General features: G+C 38.9%; 1 protein-coding gene across 7 annotated transcripts in view; it reads left to right on the top strand.

The window, feature by feature from the left end:
- Positions 1 to 24,892, top strand: part of BTBD9 (BTB domain containing 9) — a 471,479-nt gene that overhangs the window by 327,992 nt on the left and 118,595 nt on the right. For all 7 annotated transcript variants that reach the window (NM_001099272.2, XM_047418145.1, XM_047418146.1 and 4 more), the window contains one exon: positions 23,477 to 23,666. In NM_001099272.2, coding sequence (NP_001092742.1) covers positions 23,477 to 23,666 — 190 coding nt within the window. The remainder of the gene's footprint in view (positions 1 to 23,476; positions 23,667 to 24,892) is intronic.

Genomic DNA, 24,892 nt, shown 5'->3' with positions numbered 1-24,892 from the left:
GTGAGTCGAGATCGCGCCACCGCACTCCAGCCTGGGCGACAGAGTAAGACTCAGTCTCAAAAAAATAAAAATAAAAAAGAAAAGGTGCTCAGGTACTCTAAATTATTGATCTTCAGAAAAATGCACACCAAAACTACAATGGGATATCATGTCACCCCAGTTAAAATAGCTTTTATCCAAAAGACAGACAATAACAAATGTTGACAAAGATGTGGGGAAAAGGGAACCCTTGTACACTGTTGGCGGGAATATAAATTAGTACAACCACTATGGAGAACAGTTTGGAGGTTCCTCAAAAAACTAAAAATAGAGCTACCATATGATACAGCAATCCCACTTTTAGATATGTACCCAAAAGAAAGGAAATCAGTATATTGAAACGATATCTGCACTCCCATGTTTATTGCAGCACTGTTCACAATAGCCAAGATTTGGAAGCAACGTTAAGTCTCCATCAATAGATGAATGGATAAAGAAAATGTGGTACATACACACAATGGAGCACTTATTCAGCCATAAAAAGGAATTATATCCTGTCATTTGCAACAACGTGGATGGAACTAGAGGTCTTTATGTTAAGTGAAATAAGCCAGGCTCTCACTTACTTGTGGGAGCTAAAAATGAAAACAATTGAACTCATGGAGATAGAGAGTAGAATGATTCTTACCAGAGACTGTGAAAGGCAGTGGGTGGGTAGGGGGCAAGTGGGGATGGTTAATAGATACAAAAAAAAAAAAAATAGGATGAATAAGATCTAGCGTTTCATAGCACAGCAAGGTGACTATAGTCAATAATAATTTAATTGTACATTTAAAAATAACTAGAAAGGCCGGGTGCAGTGGCCCACGCCTGTAATCCCAGCACTTTGGGAGGCCGAGGCAGTCAGATCACCTGAGGTCAGCAGTTCGAGACCAGCCTGGCCAACATGGTGAAACCCCGTCTCTACTAAAACTGCAAAAAAAATTAGCCAGGTGAGGTGGCGCCTGCCTGTAAACTCAGCTACTCAGGAGGCTGAGGCAGGAGAATTGCTTGAACCCGGGGGGAGGTTGCAGTGAGTCAAGATCACGCCACTGCACTCCAGCCTGGGTGACAGAGCGAGACTTCGTCTCAAAAAACAAAACAAAACAAAACAAAACAAAACAAAGCTAGAAGGGTATAATTGGATTGTTTGTAACACAAAGAATAAATGCTTGAGGTGATGGATACCCTGTACCAAAATATTTCGTATACCCCGTAAATATATATATGCTTACTATGTACCCGCAAAAATTAAAAAATAAAAAAAACTACTGTATCCATTTTTTCATTTCCAAAAGCACTGAATGTAGGTCATTAAAAGAATTTAAAACAATAGTAAAAGGCTCTTTTAAAATTACCTTTTATTGTACTTTTTTCATCACACATTCAGTTAAGTCTACTGAAAAACATGGCATGATCTTGTTTCCTCAATCTAGATTAATTTTGGCCCCCAGAACATAGTATAAATTATATATTTTGCCCAGATTTTTTTTTTTTTCTGATAACTACTTCAGAAGTCTGATTAGGGTCATTCCAGGTGATTTGGAAGACTTTGGCTGCCTTTGAAGCCAAACTGCGCCAGGTCTCCAAGTTCACAGCTCAGGAGGCGTCCTTCACACTCAGGGATTTGCCCAATTTACCCACAGACCTGGACTGGTGCCTCAGGGTAGAACTGAGAGTGCCCAGTGGGACAAGTTGTTCCCTCAGGCACCCTTTGTGGTTTGATTAAGGAGTCTCAATACTGAATGCAGTATTCAGAAGTTCGTACTCACTTTTCCCCCTGGTGTGTTTCTTCGACATTCCAGTCTTACTTTCATGAGATCTGCGGAGATTCTTTCCTTCTCACACCTCTCACTCAATCCAGGATGGTTTGTGAGGGTTAAGGCACAAGAGATTTGGTGTTATGTCTCACCTTTTTCTCTCTGCCTCCAAAGGCTCTGGCAGGAAGATTCTGCCAAAGTGGGATTGTAGGAGCATACTTGCCACAGATCTGATGGGGACATTTTCTCTATAGCATACCCAGCTCCATTTAATGTTTAAACACCTCACTGTTAGTACTACTTTTAGAAAAAATCAAATTTTATAGTTATTGATGCATTTTAAAGAAATATTAATGTTTGAACCAGATACAGCCTCTAGCTTAAAAAAAAAAAAGAAAGGCTGCTACTTTATTCTTTATTAAAGGATCGTTAAAAAAAATTATTAAATAGGCTGGGCGCAGTGGTTCACACCTGTAATCCCAGCACTTTGGGAGGCCAAGGAGGGCAGATCATGAGGTCAGGAGATTGAGACCATCCTGGCCAACATGGTGAAACCCCGTCTCTACTAAAAATACAAAAGTTAGCTGGGCGTGGTGGTGCGTGCCTGTAGTCCCAGCTACTCGGGAGGCTGAGGCAGGAGAATCGCTTGAACCAGGGAGTTGGAGGTTGCAGTGAGCCGAGATCACATCAGCCTGGCAACAGAGAGAGATTCCATCTCAAAAAAAAAAAGTATTAAATAAACCACCACTTTTTCGTGGTTTTTTTGTTTGTTTGTTTGTTTGTTTATTTGGGAGATGGAATCTCACTCCGTCACCAAGGCCAGAGTGCAATGGTATGATCTCGGCTCACTGCAACCTCTGCCTCCTGGGTTAAGCAATTCTCCTGCCTCAGCCTTCCAAGTAGCTGGGATTATAGGCGCCCACCACCACGCCCAGCTAATTTTTGTATTTTTAGTAGAGACAGGGTTTCACCATGTTGGCCAGGCTGGTCTCGAACTCCTGACCTCAGGTGATCCACCTGCTTCAGCCTCCCAAAGTGCTGGGATTACAGGCATGAGCCACTGCACCTGGCCTTTTTGTGGGCTTTTTAAACAACCTTTTGCATGTCTTTTGTTCTCTGTTCAATGTGAATGAGAAATATTCCCCAAGCTGTGGTGACATCTCTGACTTGAGTCACAAACCTGTTGTGACCTGACGACCCTTTAAACTCGTAGTGTGGTACAAAAATAACTCTGTTGGCCCAGGCGCAGTGGCTCAGGCCTGTAATCCCAGCACTTTGGGGGGCTGAGGCAAGAGAAATGCTTGAGCTCAGGAGTTTGAGACCAGCCTGGGCAATATAGCAAAATCCCATCTCTACAAAAAATACAAAAAATAAATAAATAAATAAATAAGCCAGGCTTGGTGGCACATACCTGTAGTCCCAGCTACTCCAGAGGCTGAGGTGGGAGGATCACCTCATCCTGTGAGAGGTCGAGGCTGCAGTGAGCCGTGATCATGCCACTGCACTCCCGCCTGGGCAACAGAGTGAGACCCTGCTTCAAAAAAACAGAAACAAAACAAAACTCTGTTGATTTTAAGTAGCAATCCTGCAACAATTTGAACATCTTTTAGGGAAGAAGGAAAAATAAATTCATGTGAAACTTATGATACTACTCACAGAAAAAGATGCCCTTTATATTAAAACTTCTTAATTTTTTGAGAAATCATTTTGAAAACTTGCAAAACCAGTTTAAGTGACTATTTGTATGTTGGTTATTCCTTCTCCTGTGTTTGTATAAATCACGTTATGTTTACAGTGCAGATGTAAAGTCTCTTCCCTGACAAGTTATGTCCGGAGGAAAGAAAAAAATAGAGATATTGCCTGTTAGTTCAAACACAGAATTGGATGGTTGGTTTATCTTTTTTCTTTATACCTGGAAATGCCTCTGTCCTCAATTTCAAGGCCTCACCTTCAGAGTGAATCCCTCTTTGATATACTGCAGTGGTTATTACTGCTAACATCTGATGCTTGATTCTTTAAGGCCTTTGAATTGATTTTCTCAGCTAAAACCTCTAGCATTTAAACTACAGGATTGTCAAACTGCACATAAGAGAGTAAACCATACAGTTATTTTTGGAAAGTGCTTTCATTCAAAGGCCCCAGTGTGAGGAGAGAGAGAAAATTCACTGATCCTGGTGAACTTGTATGTTTGAGATCTACTGTTGCCACATCACCTCACTTCTGTCCCTGGGGATAACCATCTCTGATTTCTTATCTTCTAGAAAGCAGGCCACTTCCTCTGAAGTGTTTAGAGCTATAGCTTCATAAAATTTGCATGTGTTTGAGGGGCAAAAGGTGGAGGGGAACACATCTGAAGTTTAGGGAAGTTTTAACCTCTTCTTATCACTGGCTAAAATGGACTCAGCATGATTTTTGGAGCCCTTATAATCTTAAGATAAGATGTGATTTGGGCAACCTTGCTAATGTAAAAATTGGAGCTAGAACAGGAAAGATCAGAATACTGGATTAATGCTAATTAAACAGACAAAATAGCAAAGAAAGAAGGAAAAATCGATTAGGGGAAAGGGGCTCCAGTTTTCAAAAGGCATAGCCTGTTTTCCACCCATGGGCTTCACCCACAGGTATGGAGAGGTGGTCAGGACTGAATTCTCTGGAAGTGTGTTCAGAAGCAGCCTTCTCACAGAAGCAGGTGGGGGAAACTTTGGGAAAGGAAAAGCTTAAAAATTGTATGCTATATATAACCCATGGTTTTTCTTTGGTGATGTAATATATGATTGAAAAGTGATTTTCTTAACCTGATAGATAAAACTAGGCATTAATATAACTAAGTGCCTGTGTTGTAGAATACATTTTTACAGCTTTTTGATAGTTTCCAAGAAAGATGGGCTTGTTCTCTAATTAGCTATTGTTCTTTTACAGCTGTTAAGACAGAACAGCTGTGGATATTTTTTCCTCTTGAATAATTTGACAGAAGGTTGGATTACAGTTGGGTTAGAAGCTTGCCTGATCAGCAACAAATTCCTGTGTAGGCCTGGGGCTAGGCCACTGGTGTGTTTCCTCCTTTAAAAAAAGAAGTGATAGGTCTGTGGGAAGACCTCTAGGTAGGACCTTAAGCTAATAGTTATCTTCTTAAACAGGAAATCTTTGTATCTCTATGAAAATCTTGGCAATAGAGAATGATCTACTCAGAGATTATTAACCATTTGCTTGCTGCATGAACCACTGTGCTGTTAGAAAACAATTTTGTAATGAAAACAGCCAGGGAAACATTGAATAAAGCCCAGCAGAGCACAGTGTTTGAAGATGACAGTCCTCTGTAACTGCTAAGTGTTATTTCCTTTTACAAAATCTGCTTCAAGTGGGTCTTTTTCCTCCACCTCTCAAAAGTGATCTCTGGAGACAGTTAAATAACATGTCAGTCTTATCTTTAAATATAGCTGGTACAGGTGGCCCTCAGGTCATGTCCTACTGAAGTAATACTGCCTTTTAAAAAATTTATTACTCCTGAATTAAATTTAGAGGCAAGTCGTTGGCCACCCCTGGTGCTTTGTAAGAACAGAGAGCAGTAAAATTGTTTTCAGATCACTTTTTCTGCAGTTCCCTGCAGTCTGAGTCATTCCAATATTCATACACTTTGCAGAATGTATACACTTTGTTAACATGCAACTTTTGCATTCAGAAGCAGCAGATTAAATTTGTCTGAGCAGAATTGCTATGTGCACAGAGGGGGAAAAGTAATTTCTGTCCAGGCGGTTCACCTTTGCCTTTTGCTCCTAGCACAGGCTGTTGTAATAGGGATGTAGGTGAGGGATGGCAAAGGAACACCAGAAAGAGACAGATACAAGACACTGGGTTTTGGCAGCATGGTTTTGTAAACAAAGTGACACAAATTGGGACAGAAATTCCAGTGGGACAAGGGAGGAAACTGGAAGACTAGAAATAGAGCAGAAAGCTCAGTCCCATCCAGATGGTGTTTTTAATAAATTTATCAGACGCATATGAAAGACGATAATGAACATTCAAAATGGGGAGTGGCCCAGTTCCTCTGGGAAGAAAAACAGTGTGGAACCTTCTGTGTGCTGCATTCAGATATAGAATCACTCTCTAATTTTTCCCAGTAAGAAAGACCACAGAACTTATTCAAACCATTGAGTAATTGTTTAAGGCAGTCCAACTAGGTAGGCTGAGGTTTGTGTTTCTAGAAAGAAAAATTCATAACACAATTATTCCCTGCTGAAATGGAGGATTTGGCCTATGTATATTAGTAAACCAGTGGTGACATTTGATACAAACATCTTCTGTCACAACTACTGTAAGTGTGACTAAAGCAGACATTTCTCCCCCTCGGGCATAAAAGACCTTTTATAGTCTTTAAGGGTCAGGCATGGTGGCTCATACCTGTAATCTTAGCACTTTGGGAGGCTGAGGCAGGTGGATCACTTGAGGTCACAAGTTCGAGACCAGCCTGGCCAACATGGTGAAACCCCATCTCTACTAAAAACAAAAAAAAATTAGCCCGGTGTGGTGGCGTGCATCTGTAGTCCCAGCTACTCGGGAGGCTGAGCAGGAGAATTGCTTGAAACTGAGAGTTGGAGGTTGTAGTGAGTTGAGACCGTGCCACTGCACTCCAGCCTGGGCAACAGAGTGAGACTGTATCTCAAAAACAAACAAAACAAACAAAAACAATAACCTTTTATAGTCTTTAAAAGCTACATTGTTATCTGCATTCTTCTTCTCACTTTTGCCCCTCAAAATGTTTTCTCCATCAAACAATATTTTAGTCTACCATGAGTGACCAAACTTTCTGCATGTGGGGCAGACTTTTAGGGGAGAAGTTGAGAGAATAGAAGGTGTGGGTAGTGCTTAGATAGCAACTCTTCTACCATGGGCATATTTATTTTCTTTTTAATGTTTAGGTCAAGACCCAGAGATTGATCATATTTTACTTTTCTAAGAAAACTTCCACTGATAAAGCAATTTTTTTCTGCTTTATTCAGTAACTTTTAGATTTTCCTAGCTTTCCGTAAAGAACTATGTTAAGCAAGGTTAAGCGCCACAACCTTACATAGGCATCGTTTTCTATCTTTGATTCATTTACTCAGCAAATATTTATTGAGCGCCTACCATGTGCTAGGCATTGTTTCTTGGCGGTGGGAATACAGCTGCAGAAAAAAAAAAAAAGTTCCTGCCCTTATGAAACTCACATTCTGAATCTCTGGCTGTCAGTTTAGATCAGATTGTAGTACTGATTTGGCTATTAAGTGGGACAGTGCTAGAATGATTGCCTCATCTTGGTGATTTACAGAAGGTAAATCCACTGGGCTTGTGCCTTAGGTCCTTTTCTTCTTCTTTCCAGGTGTCAGCATCATTTGGTTATTATACTGTTAATTTGACTTATTAGCAAAAAGTAGGAATCAGAATTAAGAGAAGTCCAGGCATGGTAGTTCATGCCTGTAGTCCTAGCACTTTGAGAGGCCAAGGTGGGAGGATTGCTTGAGCCCAGGAGTCTGGGCCATGTAGAGACCCTGTCTTTATAAACAAACAAACAAAAAAAGAATTAAGAGAGATGGTATTCTTTTGATGTTGGTTTTTTTTTTTTTTTTGTTTGTTTTTTGAGACGGAGCCTTGCTTTGTTGCCCAGGCTGGAGTGTATTGGCATGGTCTCAGCCCATTGCAACTTCTGCCTCCCGGATTCAAGCGAGTCTCATGCCTCAGCCTCCCGAGTAGCTGGGATTACAGGTGACCGCCACCATGCCTGGCTAATTTTTGTATTTTTAGTAGAAACGGGGTTTCACTATGTTGGCCAGGCTGGTCTTGACCTCTTGACCTCGTGATCCGCCCACCTCGGCCTCCCAAAGTGCTGGGATTACAGGTGTAAGCCACCACACCCAGCCTTCTTTTGATGTTTTGCCTTATGAATTAGATAGTAGAGTTGATTATCAAATTGCTAGTTGATTTCTAGTAAAAGCTGTTTCTTGAAAGGAAATTTAGGACTTGGGGTAGATTTCACTGATATACACGTATCCATATGCATATATATCACTGATATATATACATACATGTGAGTGTGTGGAGTGTGTCTGGTTGTGTCTCTGTTTGGCTCGTTTTGTAGATCCATACTTTGACTAATAAACATTAATGAATAATTATGTCGAGATCAAAGTAGAAAGAATAGTATGCTATTCACCAGCACATATATATATATATACACACACACACACACACACGTGTATATATATATATACACATATATACACGTATATATATACACATGTGTGTGTGTGTATATATATATATATATATATATATATATATATATCTAGCAACTAAAGTTGCTAGATATTAGCAACTTAGAAAATATGTTGGAGACAGAAATAATCTGTTTAACAAATCCGTTTATAAATGTGTCTGTAGAAAAGGAATTCTGAGTGCTGATCCCAGCCTTTTTTTCCCAAAGAGTTTGAAAGCATATCAGTAATGATTTTGTGATAGTCTGTGATGTTGATGCTCTAATTGAATTAGATTACCTAGGGATAAAATTGTGAAGCAGTAAGGCATAGCGTAGGTGGAAACTGACAAACTAACACAGAGTAAACAGAGACAACTGGTGAGACCAAGCTGTCTACAGAGGATATCAGCATTCAACATAATCATAAAAGGTTTTATACTTTCAGAGGCTTACCATCTTTCTGGTTTTCATAAAAACAGTGTTAAGATGTGTGAAACTTTTAAAAAACCAATATTCCATATGTGCAAAAGAACATAAATACAATATATATAAAGTTTGGTGAGCAGGAACAGTCGCATATTCATCACGCAGCCTAAGAAATAGAATGTTACCTATACAAAAATAAACTCAAAATGAATTAAAGACTTAAAAGTAAGACCTGAAACAATAAAACTACTAGAAGAAAACATGGGGGAAATGCTTCATGACTTGGTCTGAGCAAGAATTTTTTGGATAAGACCCCAAAAGCATAGGCAGCAATAGCAATTATAGATAAATGGGATTACACCAAACTAAAAAGCTTCTGCACGGCAAAGGCAACAGTCAACAGAGTGAATAGACAGTTTACAGAATGGGAGAATCTATTTGCAAAGTATGCATCTGATAAGGGGTTAATATTCAGAATATGTAAGGAAGTAAACTCAACGGCAAAATAAATAAATAATCCAATGGAAAATGGGCAAAAGATCTGAATAGATAGTTCTCAAAAGAAGACATACAAATGGCCAATGGGTATGTGAAAAAATACTCAGCATCACTAATCAGGGAAATGCAAATAAAAACCACAGGGATATATTACTTCACCTGAGTTAGAATGGATGGTATCAAAAAGATAAAAAAGAACAAATGCAGGCATGGATGTGGAGAAAGGGGGAACTCTTATACACTGTTGGTGGTAATGTAAATTAGTACAGCCATTGTGGAAAACAGTATGGAAGTTCCTCAGAAAACTAAAAATAAACTACCATATGACTCAGCAATCCCACTACTGGGTATATATCTAAAGGAAATGAAATCTATGACAGAGATATCTTCACTCCCATGTTTATTACAGCATAATTCACAACAGCCAAGACATAAAATCAACCTAAGTGTCCATCAATGTATGAATGTATAAAGAGAATGTGATATATATATATATATATATATATATATATATATATATACATACACACAATGGAATATTATTCAGCCATTAAAAGAATGAAATGCTGTCATTTGCAGCAACATGGAAGAACCTGGAGATAATTAAATGAAATAAGAAAGCCAGGCACAGGAAGACAAACACTGCATGATTCATTCATATGTGAAGTGTAAAGTTGATCTCATAGCTATGAGAGTAGAGTAGTGGTTACCAGAGGCTGAGAAGAGTTGGGAGGTAAGGAGAAACTGGTCAGCTGGTACAGAGTTACAGTTAGAGAGGAGGAATAAGTTCTGGTGTTCTGTTGCACAGTAGGTTGACTGTGGTTAACAGTGTTGCACTGTATATTTCAAGATAACTAGAAGAGAGGATTGTGAATGTTTCACTACAAAGAAATGTTAAATGTATGAGACGATATATCCTGAAGATGCTGATTTGATTTTTACACAGTGTATACACGTATCGAAACATCATACTTTACCCCATAAATGTGTAGAGGGAAATTTATAGCACTAAATGCCCACAAGAGAAAGCAGGAAAGATCTAAAATTGACACCCTAACATCACAATTAAAAGAACTAGAGAAGCAAGAGCAAACACATTCAAAAGCTAGCAGAAGGCAAGAAATAACTAAGATCAGAGCAGAACTGAAGGAAATAGAGACACAAAAAACCCTTCAAAAAATAAATGAATCCAGGAGCTGGTTTTCTGAAAAGCTCAACAAAATTGATAGACTGCTAGCAAGACTAATATAGAAGAAAAGAGAGAAGAATCAAATAGACGCAATAAAAAATGACGAAGGGGATATCACCACCGATCCCACAGAAATACAAACTACAATGAGAGAATACTATAAACACCTCTACGCAAATAAACTAGAAAACCTAGAAGAAATGGATAAATTCTGGACACATACAGTCTCCCAAGACTAAACCAGGAAGAAGTTGAATCTCTGAATAGACCAATAACAGGCTCTGAAATTGAGGCAATAATTAATAGCTTACCAACCAAAAAAAGTCCAGGACCAGATGGATTCACAGCCAAATTCTACCAGAGGTACAAGGAGGAGCTGGTACCATTCCTTCTGAAACTACTCCAATCAACAGAAAAAGAGGGAATCCTCCCTAACTCATTTTATGAGGCCAGCATCATCCTGATACCAAAGCCTGGCAGAGACACAACAAAAAACGAGAATTTTAGACCAATATCCTTGATGAACATTGATGCAAAAATCCTCAATAAAATACTGGCAAACCGAATCCAGCAACACATCAAAAAGCTTATCTACCATGATCAAGTGGGCTTCATCCCTGGGATGCAAGGCTGGTTCAACATACGAAAATCAATAAACATAATCCAGCATATAAACAGAAACAAAGACGAAAACTACATGATTATGTCAGTAGATGCAGAAAAGGCCTTTGACAAAATTCAACAACACTTCATGCTAAAAACTCTCAATAAATTAGGTATCGATGGGACGTATCTCAAAATAATAAGAGCTATCTATGACAAACCCACAGCCAATATCATACTGAATGGACAAAAACTGGAAGCATTCCCTTTGAAAACTGGCACAAGACAGGGGTGCCCTCTCTCACCACTCCTATTCAACATAGTGTTGGAAGTTCTGGCCAGGGCAATCAGTCAGGAGAAGGAAATAAAGGGCATTCAATTAGGAAAAGAGGAAGTCAAATTGTCCCTGTTTGCAGATGACATGATTGTATATCTAGAAAACCCCATTGTCTCAGCCCAAAATCTCCTTAAGCTGATAAGCAACTTCAGCAAAGTCTCAGGATACAAAATCAATGTGCAAAAATCACAAACATTCTTATACACCAGTAACAGACAAACAGAGAGCCAAATCATGAGTGAACTCCCATTCACAATTGCTTCAAAGAGAATAAAATACCTAGGAATCCAACTTACAAGGGATGTGAAGGACCTCTTCAAGGAGAACTACAAACCACTGCTCAATGAAATAAAAGAGGATACTAACAAATGGAAGAACATTCCATGCTCATGGGTAGGAAGAATCAATATCGTGAAAATGGTCACACTGCCCAAGGTAATTTATAGATTCAGTGCCATCCCCATCAAGCTTCCAATGACTTTCTTCACAGAATTGGAAAAAAACTACTTTAAAGTTCATATGGAACCAAAAAAAAGCCCGCATTGCCAAGTCAATCCTAAGCCTAAAGAACAAAGCTGGAGGCATCACGCTACCTGACTTCAAACTACACTACAAGGCTACAGTAACCAAAACAGCATGGTACTGGTTCCAAAACAGAGATATAGACCAATGGAACAGAACAGAGCCCTCAGAAATAATGCTGCATATCTACAACTATCTGATCTTTGACAAACCTGACAAAGACAAGCAATGGGGAAAGGATTCCCTATTTAATAAATGGTGCTGGGAAAACTGGCTAGCCATATGTAGAAAGCTGAAACTAGATCCCTTCCTTACACCTTATACAAAAATTAATTCAAGATGGATTAAAGACTTACATGTTAGACCTAAAATCATAAAAACCCTAGAAGAAAACCTAGGCAATACCATTCAGGACATAGGCATGGTCAAGGACTTCATGTCTAAAACACCAAAAGCAATGGCAACAAAAGCCAAAATTGACAAATGGGATCTAATTGAACTAAAGAGCTTCTGCACAGCAAAAGAAACTACCATCAGAGTGAACAGGCAACCTACAGAATGGGAGAAAATTTTTGCAACCTACTCATCTGACAAAGGACTAATATCCAGAATCTACAATGAACTCCAACAAATTTACAAGAAAAAAACAAACAACCCCATCAAAAAGTGGGCAAAGGATATGAACAGACACTTCTCAAAAGAAGATATTTATGCAGCCAAAAAACACATGAAAAAATGCTCATCATCACTGGCCATCAGAGAAATGCAAATCAAAACCACAATGAGATACCATCTCACACCAGTTAGAATGGCGATCATTAAAAAGTCAGGCAACAACAGGTGCTGGAGAGGATGTGGAGAAATAGGAACACTTTTACACTGTTGATGGGGCTGTAAACTAGTTCAACCATTGTGGAAGTCAGTGTGGCGATTCCTCAGGGATCTAGAACTAGAAATACCATTTGACCCAGCAATCCCATTACTGGGTATATACCCAAATGACTATAAATCATGCTGCTATAAAGACACGTGCACACGTATGTTTATTGCAGCACTATTCACCATAGCAAAGACTTGGAACCAACCCAAATGTCCAACAATGATAGACTGGATTAAGAAAATGTGGCACATACACACCATGGAATACTATGCAGCCATAAAAAATGATGAGTTCATGTCCTTTGTGGGGACATGGATGAAGCTGGAAACCATCATTCTCAGCAAACTATCGCAAGGACAAAAAACCAAACACTGCATGTTCTCACTCATAGGTGGGAACTGAACAATGAGAACACATGGACACAGGAAGGGGAACATCACACACTGGGGATTGTTGTGGGGTGGGGGATGGGGAGAGGGATAGCATTCGGAGGTATACCTAATGCTAAATGACGAGTTAATGGGTGCAGCACACCAACATGGCACATGTATACATATGTAACAAACCTGCACGTTGTGCACATGTACCCTAAAACTTAAAGTATATTAAAAAAAAAAAAAGAATGAAATACTTTCATTTGCAGCAACATGGATGGAACTGGAGGTCATTATGTTAAGTGAAATAAGCCAGGCACAGACAGACAGATATCATATGTTGTTACTCATAATTGGGAGCTTAAAAAGTTGATCTCATGGAGGTAGAGAGTAAAGAAATAGGCATCAGAGGCTGGGAAGGTTTTGTGTGTGTTTGGGGTTGGGAGGGTGAAGGGATAAAGGGAGACTGGTTAAAGGGTACAAATATACAGTTAGATAGAAGGAATCAGTTCTAATGTTTGTTGGTAGAGTAGGGGACTACAGTTAATAACAATGTATTGTGTATTTTAGAATAGCTTAAAGAGAGGACATGAGATGTTTTCAGTACATAGAAACAACAAATACTTGAGGCGAGGGATACTCTGACTTGATCATTGTACATTCTATGCATGTAATAAAATATCACATGTACTCCATAAGTATGTACAAATATTATGTGTCAAAACTATTTTTAATTGCAAAAATGTGTTAAGGTCTTTTATATTGGTCAGGAGAAGGAATATATAATTATTAATTTTAGAGATTATTAAATCTGGTATGCTTGTCTAAAATTTAAGAGACATAAAAGGATAAAAATTTAATGTATATATAACCTCCAAACCAAATCAGTTGGGATAGCTGGTGGGGGAAATGAAATAATCTATCCATTCTTAGAAAACTGGAGCAGAGGCCAGGTGTGGTGGCTCACACCTGTAATGCCAGCACTTTGGGAGGCCGAGGCGGGCAGATCACGATGTCAGGAGGTCGAGACCATCCTGGCTAACATGGTGAAACCCCGTCTGTACTAAAAATAAAAAATATATAAAATAAAAAAATTAGCCGGGTGTGGTGGCAGGCACCTGTATTCCGAGCTACTTGGGAGGCTGAGGCAGGAGAATGGCATGAACCCAGGAGGTGGAGCTTGCAGTGAGCCGAGATAGCACCACTGCACTGCAGCCTGGGCGACAGAGCGAGACTCCATCTCAGAAAAAAAAAAAAAAAGAAAACTGGAGCAGAATGGGCAGAAAGGTAAGAGAAACAGCAAAGAAAAAACATGTAAATAGAAAATAAAAGCGAGTTCAAATAAATTAGTAATAACAATTAATGGGAGTCATGTAAATCTGCCAGTTAAAATACGCACTGCCAGTTAAGGACACTGAATCTTTTAAAAATCTATTATGTTATTTACAAGAGACCAGAAAAATAGAAAGTGACATGATACTAAGGAAATAGTAGACAATGTAAAGGTGTTATAGTTACTTGACATCAGACAACATAGACTTTAGGGCAAAAACATTGTTAAGAATAACGAACAGTAATACATAATGATGAAAGGTTCAATCTACCAGGAAGATATAATTTCTAAGATGATGTACATGATGATGTGGTCTCAAAACACATAAAGCAAAAATCAACAGAATTGTAGGAAAAACTGACAAATCTATAGTCATAGTCATAACAGGAGATTTTTTTTTTCTTCAAGTCAGTCTCACTCTGTTGCCCAGGCTGGGGTGCAATGGCGCAATCTCAGCTCATTGCAACCTCCACCTCCCGTGTTCAAACGATTATCCTGCCTCAGCCTCTTGGGTAGCTGGGATTACAGGTGCGCGCCACCATGCCCAGCTAATTTTTGTATTTATAGTAGAGACGGGGTTTCACCACGTTAGCCAGGCTGCTCTGGAACTCCTGACCTTGTGATCCGCCCACCTCAGCCTCCCAAAGTGCTGGGATTACAGGCGTGAGCCACCGCGCCTGACCGCAGGAGATTTTAACAAACATCTCCCAGTAATTAGTAAGCATATAAATATTCGAATAATACAATTGGCAATTTTGATCTAATAAATATATATAGAACCATACATCCCCCAAATTAGAGAATATACATTCTTTTGAGGCACACATAAGACATTCATAAGAATTAGCCATGTACTAGACCACAAAGTAAATCTAAGATTTTACGAAGTCACATCGGACACACCACAGTTTTTTTTCCACATTGCAATTTAATTAAAAATCAGTAACAGAAAGACAACTTGAAAAACGATGTTTAGAAAGTTGAAAACGTACTTCTGAATAATTCGTGGGTCAAAGGAAAAATGATAAAGGAAATTATAAAATATTTAGAAATGATTAACTTTTAAAATACTGTATATCAGACAAACCCAAATTGAGGGACATTCTACACAATACCTGACTGGTACACTTCAAAACACTAAATATCAAAAAATTGTAAAGGTGAAACAGGAGTTAGAAGTAAAATACTATATTAGCTTTAAATACATTTTTTTAGAAAAGAAAAAGATTAGTGAGTTAAACATTCATTTCAAGTAGTTAGGAAAAAAATAGAATAAATCCAAAGGAGCAGGAGGAAGAAAATAATAAAGAGAAGACAGGAATTTAGTAAAATAGGAAATAAGGAAAAGAATCAACAAAACCCAATGTTGGTTCTTTAAGAGCACTAATAAAATAGATAAACCTGTATAGAACTGGGCAAAAAAGAAAGGCAAGGTATAATAAATAATACTTTGAATGAAAAAGAGCTATACTGTGAAATATTGTATGCCAGTATGTTTGAAAACTTAAACAAAATAAAAAATTTTCCTGAAAGGGCCAAGAATATATGACAATGTAAAAGAAAAAAGAAAAGGAAAAGGAGGGGGAGAAGAGGAGCTAACTAAGATTTACAATTACTTTAAAATTATGGTAATTAAGACAGCATGGTAAAGGCACAAGGCTAGTCAAATCAACCAGTGAAACAGAATACAGATCTTTTTTTGTTTTTGTTTCTGTTTTTTTGAGACAGAGTCTCGCTTTGTTGCCTAGGCTGGAGTGGAGTGGCATGATCTCGGCCCACTGCAACCTTAACTTCCCAAGTTCAAGCGATTCTCCTGCCTCAGCCTCCCAATAGCTGGGATTACAGGCATGCACCATCACACCCAGCTAATTTTTGTATTTTTAGTAGAGATGGGGTTTCATCATGTTGGCCAAGCTGGTCTCAAACTCCTGGCCTCAAGTGCTCCGCCTGCCTCCGCCTCCCAAAGAGCTGGGATTATTACAGGCATGAGCCACCATATCCAGCCTCAGAATACAGATCTTAAATGGAGATGCAAATATATACAAAAACTTCATATGTGACTAAAGTAACATAAATTAGTGGGGGAAAGGATGGGCTGTTCACTAAATGCTATTTGGGGAAATTAGTCATATTTATAAATAAAAGATGAAAATCCTCATCTCACAGCATACTAAAAATAAATTCTGAATAGATTAAAGAAACAAACATAAAAAGAAAAGTTTGAGAAATTGTAGGAGAAAATTAGGAAAATATCCTTATGAATTTGGTGTAGGAAAGAACTTATAAACAAGAAAGGAAAAGTTTGCCAGGCGTGGTGGCTCATGCCTATAACCCCAGCACTTTGGGAAGCTGAAGCAGGAGGATTGCTTGAGCCCAGGAGTTCAAGACCAGCCTGGGCAACAAAATGGGACCTCGTCTCTATAAAAAATTTAAAAAATTAGCCAGGCATGATGGCACCTGCCTATGGTTCCAGCTACTCGAGAGGCTGAGGCAGGAGGATTGCTTGAGCCTGGGAGTCCAAGGCTGTAGTGAACCGTGATCGTACCACTGCACTCCAGCCTGGATGACAGAATGAGACCGTGTCTCAACAACAACAACAATAATAGAATTTTTTTGAAAAGGGAAAAGCATAAGTCATAAAGAAAAAGATTAAATATTTCAACTCAATAAATTGACCTACAAAAGCTTGGCATCCTGAAAATCAATTAGAAAGATAATAGAAAAATAGGCAAAAGATAAAAATAGTTTACAGAAGAGAAATTGAGAATGATTCCAGAGGGAAAAAAAGAGAAAAAAAAATGTTCAACTTCACCTAACAAAAAAGTTAAAAGCTAAAATCACACTGAGATCCCATTTCACACTTACCTGTCTGACATTACCAGGAGTTGGTGAGGATGTGGAGCAATTAGTTGAGAGTATAAAGGTTTTTTTTTTTTTTGGCACAAAATTTTATTTTCTTATTTTTTTATTATACTTTAAGTTCTGGGATACATGTGCAGAATGTGCAGGTTTGTTACATAGGTATACACATGCCATGGTGGTTTGCTGCACCCATCAACCCATCATCTACATTAGGTATTTCTCGTAATGCTATCCCTCTCCTAGATCCCCACCCCCTGACAGGCCCCTGTGTGTGATGTTCCTCTCCCTGTGTCCATGTGTTCTCATTGTTTAACTCCCACTTATGAGTGAGAACATGTGGGGTTTGGTTTTCTGTTCCTGTGTTAGTTTGCTGAGAGTGATGATTTCCAGCTCCATGCATGTCCCTGCAAAGGACATGAACTCATCCTTTTTATGGCTGCATAGTACTCCATGGTGTATATGTGCCACATTTTCTTTATCCAGTCTATCATTGATGGGCATTTGGGTTGGTTCCAAGTCTTTGCTATTGTGAACATATGTGTGCATGTCTCTTTATAGCAGCATGATTTATAATCCTTTGGGTATATACCCAGTAATGAGATGGCTGGGTCAAATGGTATTTCTGGTTCTAGATTCTTGAGGAATCGCCACATTGACTTCCACAATGGTTGAACTAGTTTACAGTCCCACCAACAGTGTAAAAGTGTTCCTAATTCTCCACATCCTCTCCAGCATCTGTTGTTTCCTGACTTTTAATGATCGCCATTCTAACTGGCATGAGATGGTATCTCGTTGTGGTTTTGATTTGCATTTCTCTAATGGCCAGTGATGTTGAGCTTTTTTTCATACGTTTGTTGGCATAAATGTCTTCTTTTGAGAAGTGTCTGTTCATATCCTTTGCATGCTTTTTGATGGGGTTGTTTGTTTTTTTTCTTGTAAATTTGTTGAAGTTCCTTGTAGATTCTGGATATTAGCCCTTTGTCAGATGGATAGATTGCAAAAATTTTCTCCCATTCTGTAGGTTGCCTGTTCACTCTGATGATGGTTTCTTTTGCTGTGCAGAAGCTCTTTAGTTCAATTAGATCCCATTTGTCAATTTTGGCTTTTGTTGCCATTGTTTTTCGTGTTTTAGTCATGAAGTCTTTGCCCATGCCTATGTCCTGAATGGTACTGCCTCTAGGTTTTCTTCTAGAGTTTTTATAGTTTTAGGTCTTATATTTAAGACTTTAATCCATCTTGAGTTAATTTTTGTATAAAGTGTAAGGAAGGGGTTCAGTTTCAGTTTTCTGCATGTGGCTAGCCAGTTTTCCCAGCACCATTTATTAAATAGGGAATCCTTTCCCCGTTGCTTGTTTTTGTCAGGTTTGTCAAAGATCAGATGGTTGTAGATATGTGGCATTATTTCTGAGGCCTCTGTTCTGTTCCATTGGTCCATATATCTATTTGGTACCAGTACCATGCTGTTTTGGTTACTGTAGCTTTGTAGTGTAGTTTGAAGTCAGGTAGGATAATGCCTCCAGCTTTGTTCTTTTTTCTTAGGATTGTCTTGGCTATGCAAGCTCTTTTTTGGTTCCATGTGAAATTTAAAGTAGTTTTTTCTAATTCTATGAAGAAATTCAATGGAGCTTGATGGGGATAGCATTGAATCTATAAATTACTTTGGGCAGTATGGCCATTTTCACGATATTGATTTTTCCTATCCATGAAAAACAAATGGAATGTTTTTCCATTCGTTTGTGTTCTCTCTTATTTCCTTGAGCAGTGGAGAAACTCACTCAAAACTGCACAACTACATGGAAACTGAACAACTGCTCCTGAATGATTACTGGGTAAATAATATAATTAAGGCAGAAATAAATAAGTTCTTTGAAACCAATGAGAACAAAGACACAACATACCAGAATCTCTGGGACACAGCTAAAGCAGTGTTCAGAGGGAAATTTATAGCACTAAATGCCCACAGGAGAAAGCAGGAAAGGCCTAAAATCGACACCCTAACATCACAATTAAAAGAACTAGAGAAGCAAGAGCAAACAAATTCAAAAACTCGCAGAAGACAAGAAATAACTAAGAGGAGAGCAGAACTGAAGGAGATAGAGACATGAAAAACCCTTCAAAAAATCAATGCATCCAGGAGCTGGTTTTTTGAAAAGATTGACAAAATAGATAGACCACTAGCCAGACTAATAAAGAAGAAAAGAGAGAAGAATCAAATAGACACAATAAAAAAATGATAAAGGGAATATCACCACTGATCCCACAGAAATATAAACTACCATCAGAGAATACTATAAACACCTCTAAGCAAATAAAGTAGAAAACCTAGAAGAAATGGATAAATTCCTGGACACATACACCCTCCCAAGACTAAAGCAGGAAGAAGTCGAATCCCTGAATAGACCAATAACAAATTCTGAAATTGAGGCAGTAATTAATAGCCTACCAACCAAAAAAAAGCCCAGGACCAAAAGGATTCACAGCCGAATTCTACCAGAGGTACAAAGAGGAGCTGGTACCATTCCTTCTGAAACTATTCCAAACAATAGAAAAAGAAGGACTCCTCTGTAACTCATTTTATGAGGCCAGCATCATCCTGATACCAAAACCTGGCAGAGACACAACAACAACAAAAAAGAAAATTTCAGCCGGGCGTGGTGGCTCATGCCTGTAATCCCAGCACTTTGGGAGGCTGAGGCTGGTGGATCACCTGAGGTCAGGAGTTCAAGACCAACCTGACCAACAAGGTGAAACCCCGTGTCTACTAAAAATACAAAAAAATTAGCCAGGTGTGGTGGCAACCGCCTGTAATCCCAGCTACTTGGGAGGCTGAGGCAGGAGAATTGCTTGAGCTGGGCAGGCGGAGGCTGCAGTGAGCTGAGATTTCGCTACTGCACTCCGGCCTGGGCAACAAGAGCAAAACTTCGTCTCAAAAAAAAAAAAAGAAAGAAAAAAGAAAATTGCAGGCCAATATCCCTGATGAACATCTATGCAAAAATCCTCAATAAAATACTGGCAAACTGAATCCAGCAGCACATCAAAAAGCTTATCCACCACAATCAAGTCAGCTTCATCCCTGGGATGCGAGGCTGGTTCAACATACGCAAATCAATAAACGTAATCCATCACATAAACAGAACCAGTGACAAAAAACACATGATTATCTCAATAGACGCAGAAAAGGCCTTAGATAAAATTCAACACCCCTTCATGCTAAAAACTCTCAGTAAACTAGGTATTGATGGAACGTATCTCAAAATAATAAGAGCTATTTATGACAAACCCACAGCCAATATCATACTGAATGGGCAAAAGCTGGAAGCATTCCCTGTGAAAACCAGCACAAGACAAGGATGCCCTCTCACCACTCCTATTCAACATAGTATTGGAAGTTCTGGCCAGGGCAATCAGGCTAGAGAAAGACATAAAGGATATTCAAATAGGAAGAGAGGAAGTCAAATTGTCTCTGTTTGCAGATGACATGATTGTATATTTAGATAATCCCATCGTCTCAACCCAAAATCTCCTTAAGCTGATAAGCAACTTCAGCAAAGTCTCAGGTTACAAAATCAATGTGCAAAAATCACAAGCATTCCTATACACCAATAACAGATAAACAGAGAGCCAAATCATGAGTGAACTCCCATTCACAATTGCTACAAAGAGAATAAAATACCTAGGAATCCAACTGACAAGGGATGTAAAGGACCTCTTCAAGGAGAGAGTATAAAGTTTTACAACCACTTTGGTGAAAAATTTGGCAATATCTAGGGAAGTTGAAGTTAACTCATAGCCATGAGTGTAATTCCACTTCCACATACATAGAAATCTCAAGTATTCCTTTAAGAAACTCTTACCTGGGAATACAAGAAGACATCTTTGTTTGTAATGGCAAAGAAAACAATGGTAACAATCTAAATGTCCTTCAGCAAGAGAATAGATATATAAATCTTAGAATATTCATACATTGAAATACTTTAAATACTTGAAACAGATGACCCAGATGTACCTGTCTGTTAAATGCTCTTTCATCCAGGCTTAATGTTTGTAGTAGACATTAAATGTTGTTCACCAAATACCCCATTTTTTCTCCCTGGAGCTTTTCCCAGGCACACAGCAGGGTTGTGCTTTCTAGTCCCCTCTGAAGTTAGATAAGACCATGTGACTTAGACAATGAAATATGTACAAAGTGACATGCATTACTTTTGGGGAAGAGTTTTAAGAGCCTGTGCCCAGCTTACTCTCTTCCCACTGCGGCTGTGATTGGGGAAGCACATGTCAGTATGAAGCCTCTGTCACTGGGATCCCTGAGTGATACAATGAGCAGAGCCTCCTGGCTGATCGTCACTGAATACATAGGGTGAGTGAAAAAATAAATGTGTGCTATGTTAAGCCACTGAGAGAGTAGGGGCCTGTCAGTTGCTGCAGCATAACCTGTCTACAGTGTTATGTCTCAGCTCAATTTACTGTACATCTTATACCACTTCCTTTCATTCTCTCTTCCAAATCAAAGAATACTGCCCTTTTTCCAGGAGATAGAAGTACCATAACTTACCTTCTAAATATAGTCCACTTCTGTTTCTTTCCAAAGTCACAGGGAGCTTCTCTCTGAGCTCCTTCTCTGCCAGGAAACTGTCCTTACAGGTAATTTCACCGGTGTTTTTACTTGTTGCTTTGGAATTAAGCTTCATAATCAAGGAATTCATCACCAGAAAAATTCATCCTCTCTCTCTCCCTCCTCTCCCTTCCTTTCTTCTCTGTGGGTGGCTTTACTCAGCTACAGAGAGCAAAGCAATTAGTGAAGGCATACGAGATGAGGGCTTAAGTACAAGCATGTCCAACTTTGGAAAATAAATGAGTTGCATAGAAGATATATGTAAAATTACTTTTTTCTTTTCCAATCTATTTTAATTTATCTGATGTAAGCTACAAACCTTGAATGTAAGTAGGTTTTGGTTAAATAACTTAAATGTCTGAAGAAAATTAAAGGTTTTTGTTTTAAACGTGCAGAAAAGGTCCCAGGGGACTTAAAAGGCCCTCACCTTTTATTCTCTTCTCAGTGTTTAGAGAACTTACATCATAGTGAGCATCCATCATTTTGTGGAAGTTCTTGACTTTTATAAATGAGCAGGTTGATATAGACTTGAGTTATATAGAGAGAGACTCAAAATCAGAACAGCTGGGTTTTTAAGATGCAGCAGTTCATGAACAATGGGAAGAGCATATATGTTGCAATGCACAGAATAGTAGACAAAAAAAAGAAATTAATCATGGCTGAGGGCAACTGTATATTCTGAAATGGGTTTGGTACCAGGTCTCAGATCACTTTCCTATTATGTGAGTTTCAAAATTCTGAATTTAACATGTTTCTTTAAACAGACTTTCAGAATAATAGATATTATTCAGAATAATAGAAAATATCTGCAGCTTAGAGACTACTAATAAAACAAATACCTATGTACCTACCAGCTAGCTTAAGATATAGAACAAGAGCAGTATTTATTAGACATAAAATCAATTAAAAAAAATTTTTTTTGAGAGGGAGTCTCACCGTGTTATTAAGGCTGGAGGACAGTGGCATGACCTCGGCTCACTGCAACCATTGCTTCCCAGGCCCAAGCAATCCTCCCACCTCAGTAGGCCGAGTCGCTGGGACCACAGATGTGTGCTACCACGCCTGGCTAATTTTTTGTATTTTGGGTAGAAATGGGGTTTCACCACATTATCCTGGCTGGTCTTGAACTCCTGAGCTCAAGCTATCTGCCCTCCTCAGCCTCCCAAAGTGCTGGGGTTACAGGTGTGAGCCACCGTGCCTGGCTGCTATTTTTAATTTTCTGTATTAATTTCCTAGATTCCCTTTTTAGTTTTATGTATATAGCTCTAAACAAAGTATGTTTTAGTTTTGACTTTGTTGAAAACTTTGTATAAGTGAATACATAGCCTGTGTTTTTCTATGCCTTGCTTTTTCTTTTTTTCTTTTTTTGGAGACGAGTCTCGCTCTGTCACCCAGGCTGGAGCGCAGTGATGCGATCTTGGCTTACTGCATCCTCTGCCTCCCAGGTTCAAGCAATTCTCTTGCCTCGGCCTCCCGAGTAGCTGGGACTACAGGCACACGCCACCACGCCTGGCTGATTTTTTATATTTTAGTAGAGATGGGGTTTCACCATGTTGGCTGGTCTCAAACTCCTGACCTCAAGTGATCTGCCCACCTCAGCCTCCCAAAGTGCTGAGATTACAGGTGTGAGCCACCATGCCCACTGGGCTTAACATTTTTTAAAAAGCTATTTGGCATGGAAAATGTATTCATATCTGAAGATAATCCAGATGTTCTAATTTTTCTTTTATCATTGATTTGAGATAGCAATTAATTAATTTTGTTCTGAGCACACTATAGAGATATATTTGGCTTCTCTTATCCTGATGCCAAATCTTGTTTTTGGATTCACAGTTCCCATGGAGAATGTTGCAACAATTGCTGATTGTGCCAGTGTGATTGAAGGAGTCAGTCGGAGCCGAAATGCCTTGCTGAATGGGGACACTAAGAATTATGACTGGGATTCTGGCTACACATGTCACCAGCTAGGAAGTGGTGCGATTGTGGTTCAGTTGGCACAACCGTACATGATTGGGTCAATACGGTAAGAAGATTCCTCCTCATTCATAAGTTTTAAAATGGAAGATACACATATAGATTGTATTTTGGTAAAATGATAATCCTAATAACTTCAGTGAAGAAATTCTACTGTTCTTTGCTCTAAGTATCAAGAAAGGAGTGGGAGCCGAAGGAAGGGACAACAACGAGATATAGCGTGCTTGTTTGGATTTTCCACTGGGGCAGTACACTGAAGTTAGACTCATGGAGGAACTAGACAAGAGGCTTCTCCCTGGGTGGCTTATGTCCTTTTCAAGTCTCAATTTGTATTGGTTAGAGACTTATAGGATAATGTCAAGATAGGTTATATAGAATGAAAAATCATTTTCAACTTTAATAAATTACATATGAACCAAACAGATCTGAATTCGAGATCTGGTTTTGAATAATCTTAGTGATCTTTGCGCCTGGGCTTTTTGTTGTTCCTTTTTGTTTTAAGAAGGGAACTTTAACCTTGCTTGATTTATAGGATTATATAATTTTTAAACGTGAGACTGGTGATATCCCTCAGAGGATATACAGTCATGCATTGCTTAATGGCAGAGACACACTGTAAGAAATGCACTGTCAGCCAATTTTGTCATTGTGGAAACATCATAGAGTGTCCTTACACAAACCTAGATGGTATATAGCCTACCACACACCTAGGCTAGATGGTATGTTCTGTTGCTCCTAGGCTACAAACCTGTACAGCATGTTACTATACTGAAGACTGTAGGCAATTATAACACAGTGGTAAGTATTTGTGTATCTGAACATGTCTAAACATAGAAAACGTACAAGAAAAATATAATATACAAGATAAAAAATGGTGCCTGGGCACGGTGCCTCATGCCTGTAATCTCAGCACTTTGGGAGGCGGAGGTGGGCGGATCGCTTGAAAGCTCAGGAGTTCGAGACCAGCTTGGGCAACATTACAAGGTCTCATCTCAATTAAAAAAAAAAAGAAGAACATAAAAAATGGTACACCTGTGTAGGGCACTTACCATGAATGGAGCTTGCAGGACAAGAAGTTGCTCTGGGTGAGTCAGTGAGTGAGTGATGGGTGAATGTGAAGGCCTAGGACATTACTGTACTGTAGACTTTTAAACATTGTACATTTAGGCTGCTATATGTGTGTGTGTGTGTGTGTGTGTGTGTGTGTGTGTATATTTTTTTTTTTTTTTTTTTTTTTTGAGATGGAGCCTCACTATTGTCACCCAGGCTGGAATG

Source organism: Homo sapiens, chromosome 6, assembly GCF_000001405.40.
Source record: "Homo sapiens chromosome 6, GRCh38.p14 Primary Assembly".
Lineage (NCBI taxonomy): Eukaryota > Metazoa > Chordata > Mammalia > Primates > Hominidae > Homo > Homo sapiens.
This window is presented reverse-complemented; position numbering and strand designations above follow the sequence as displayed.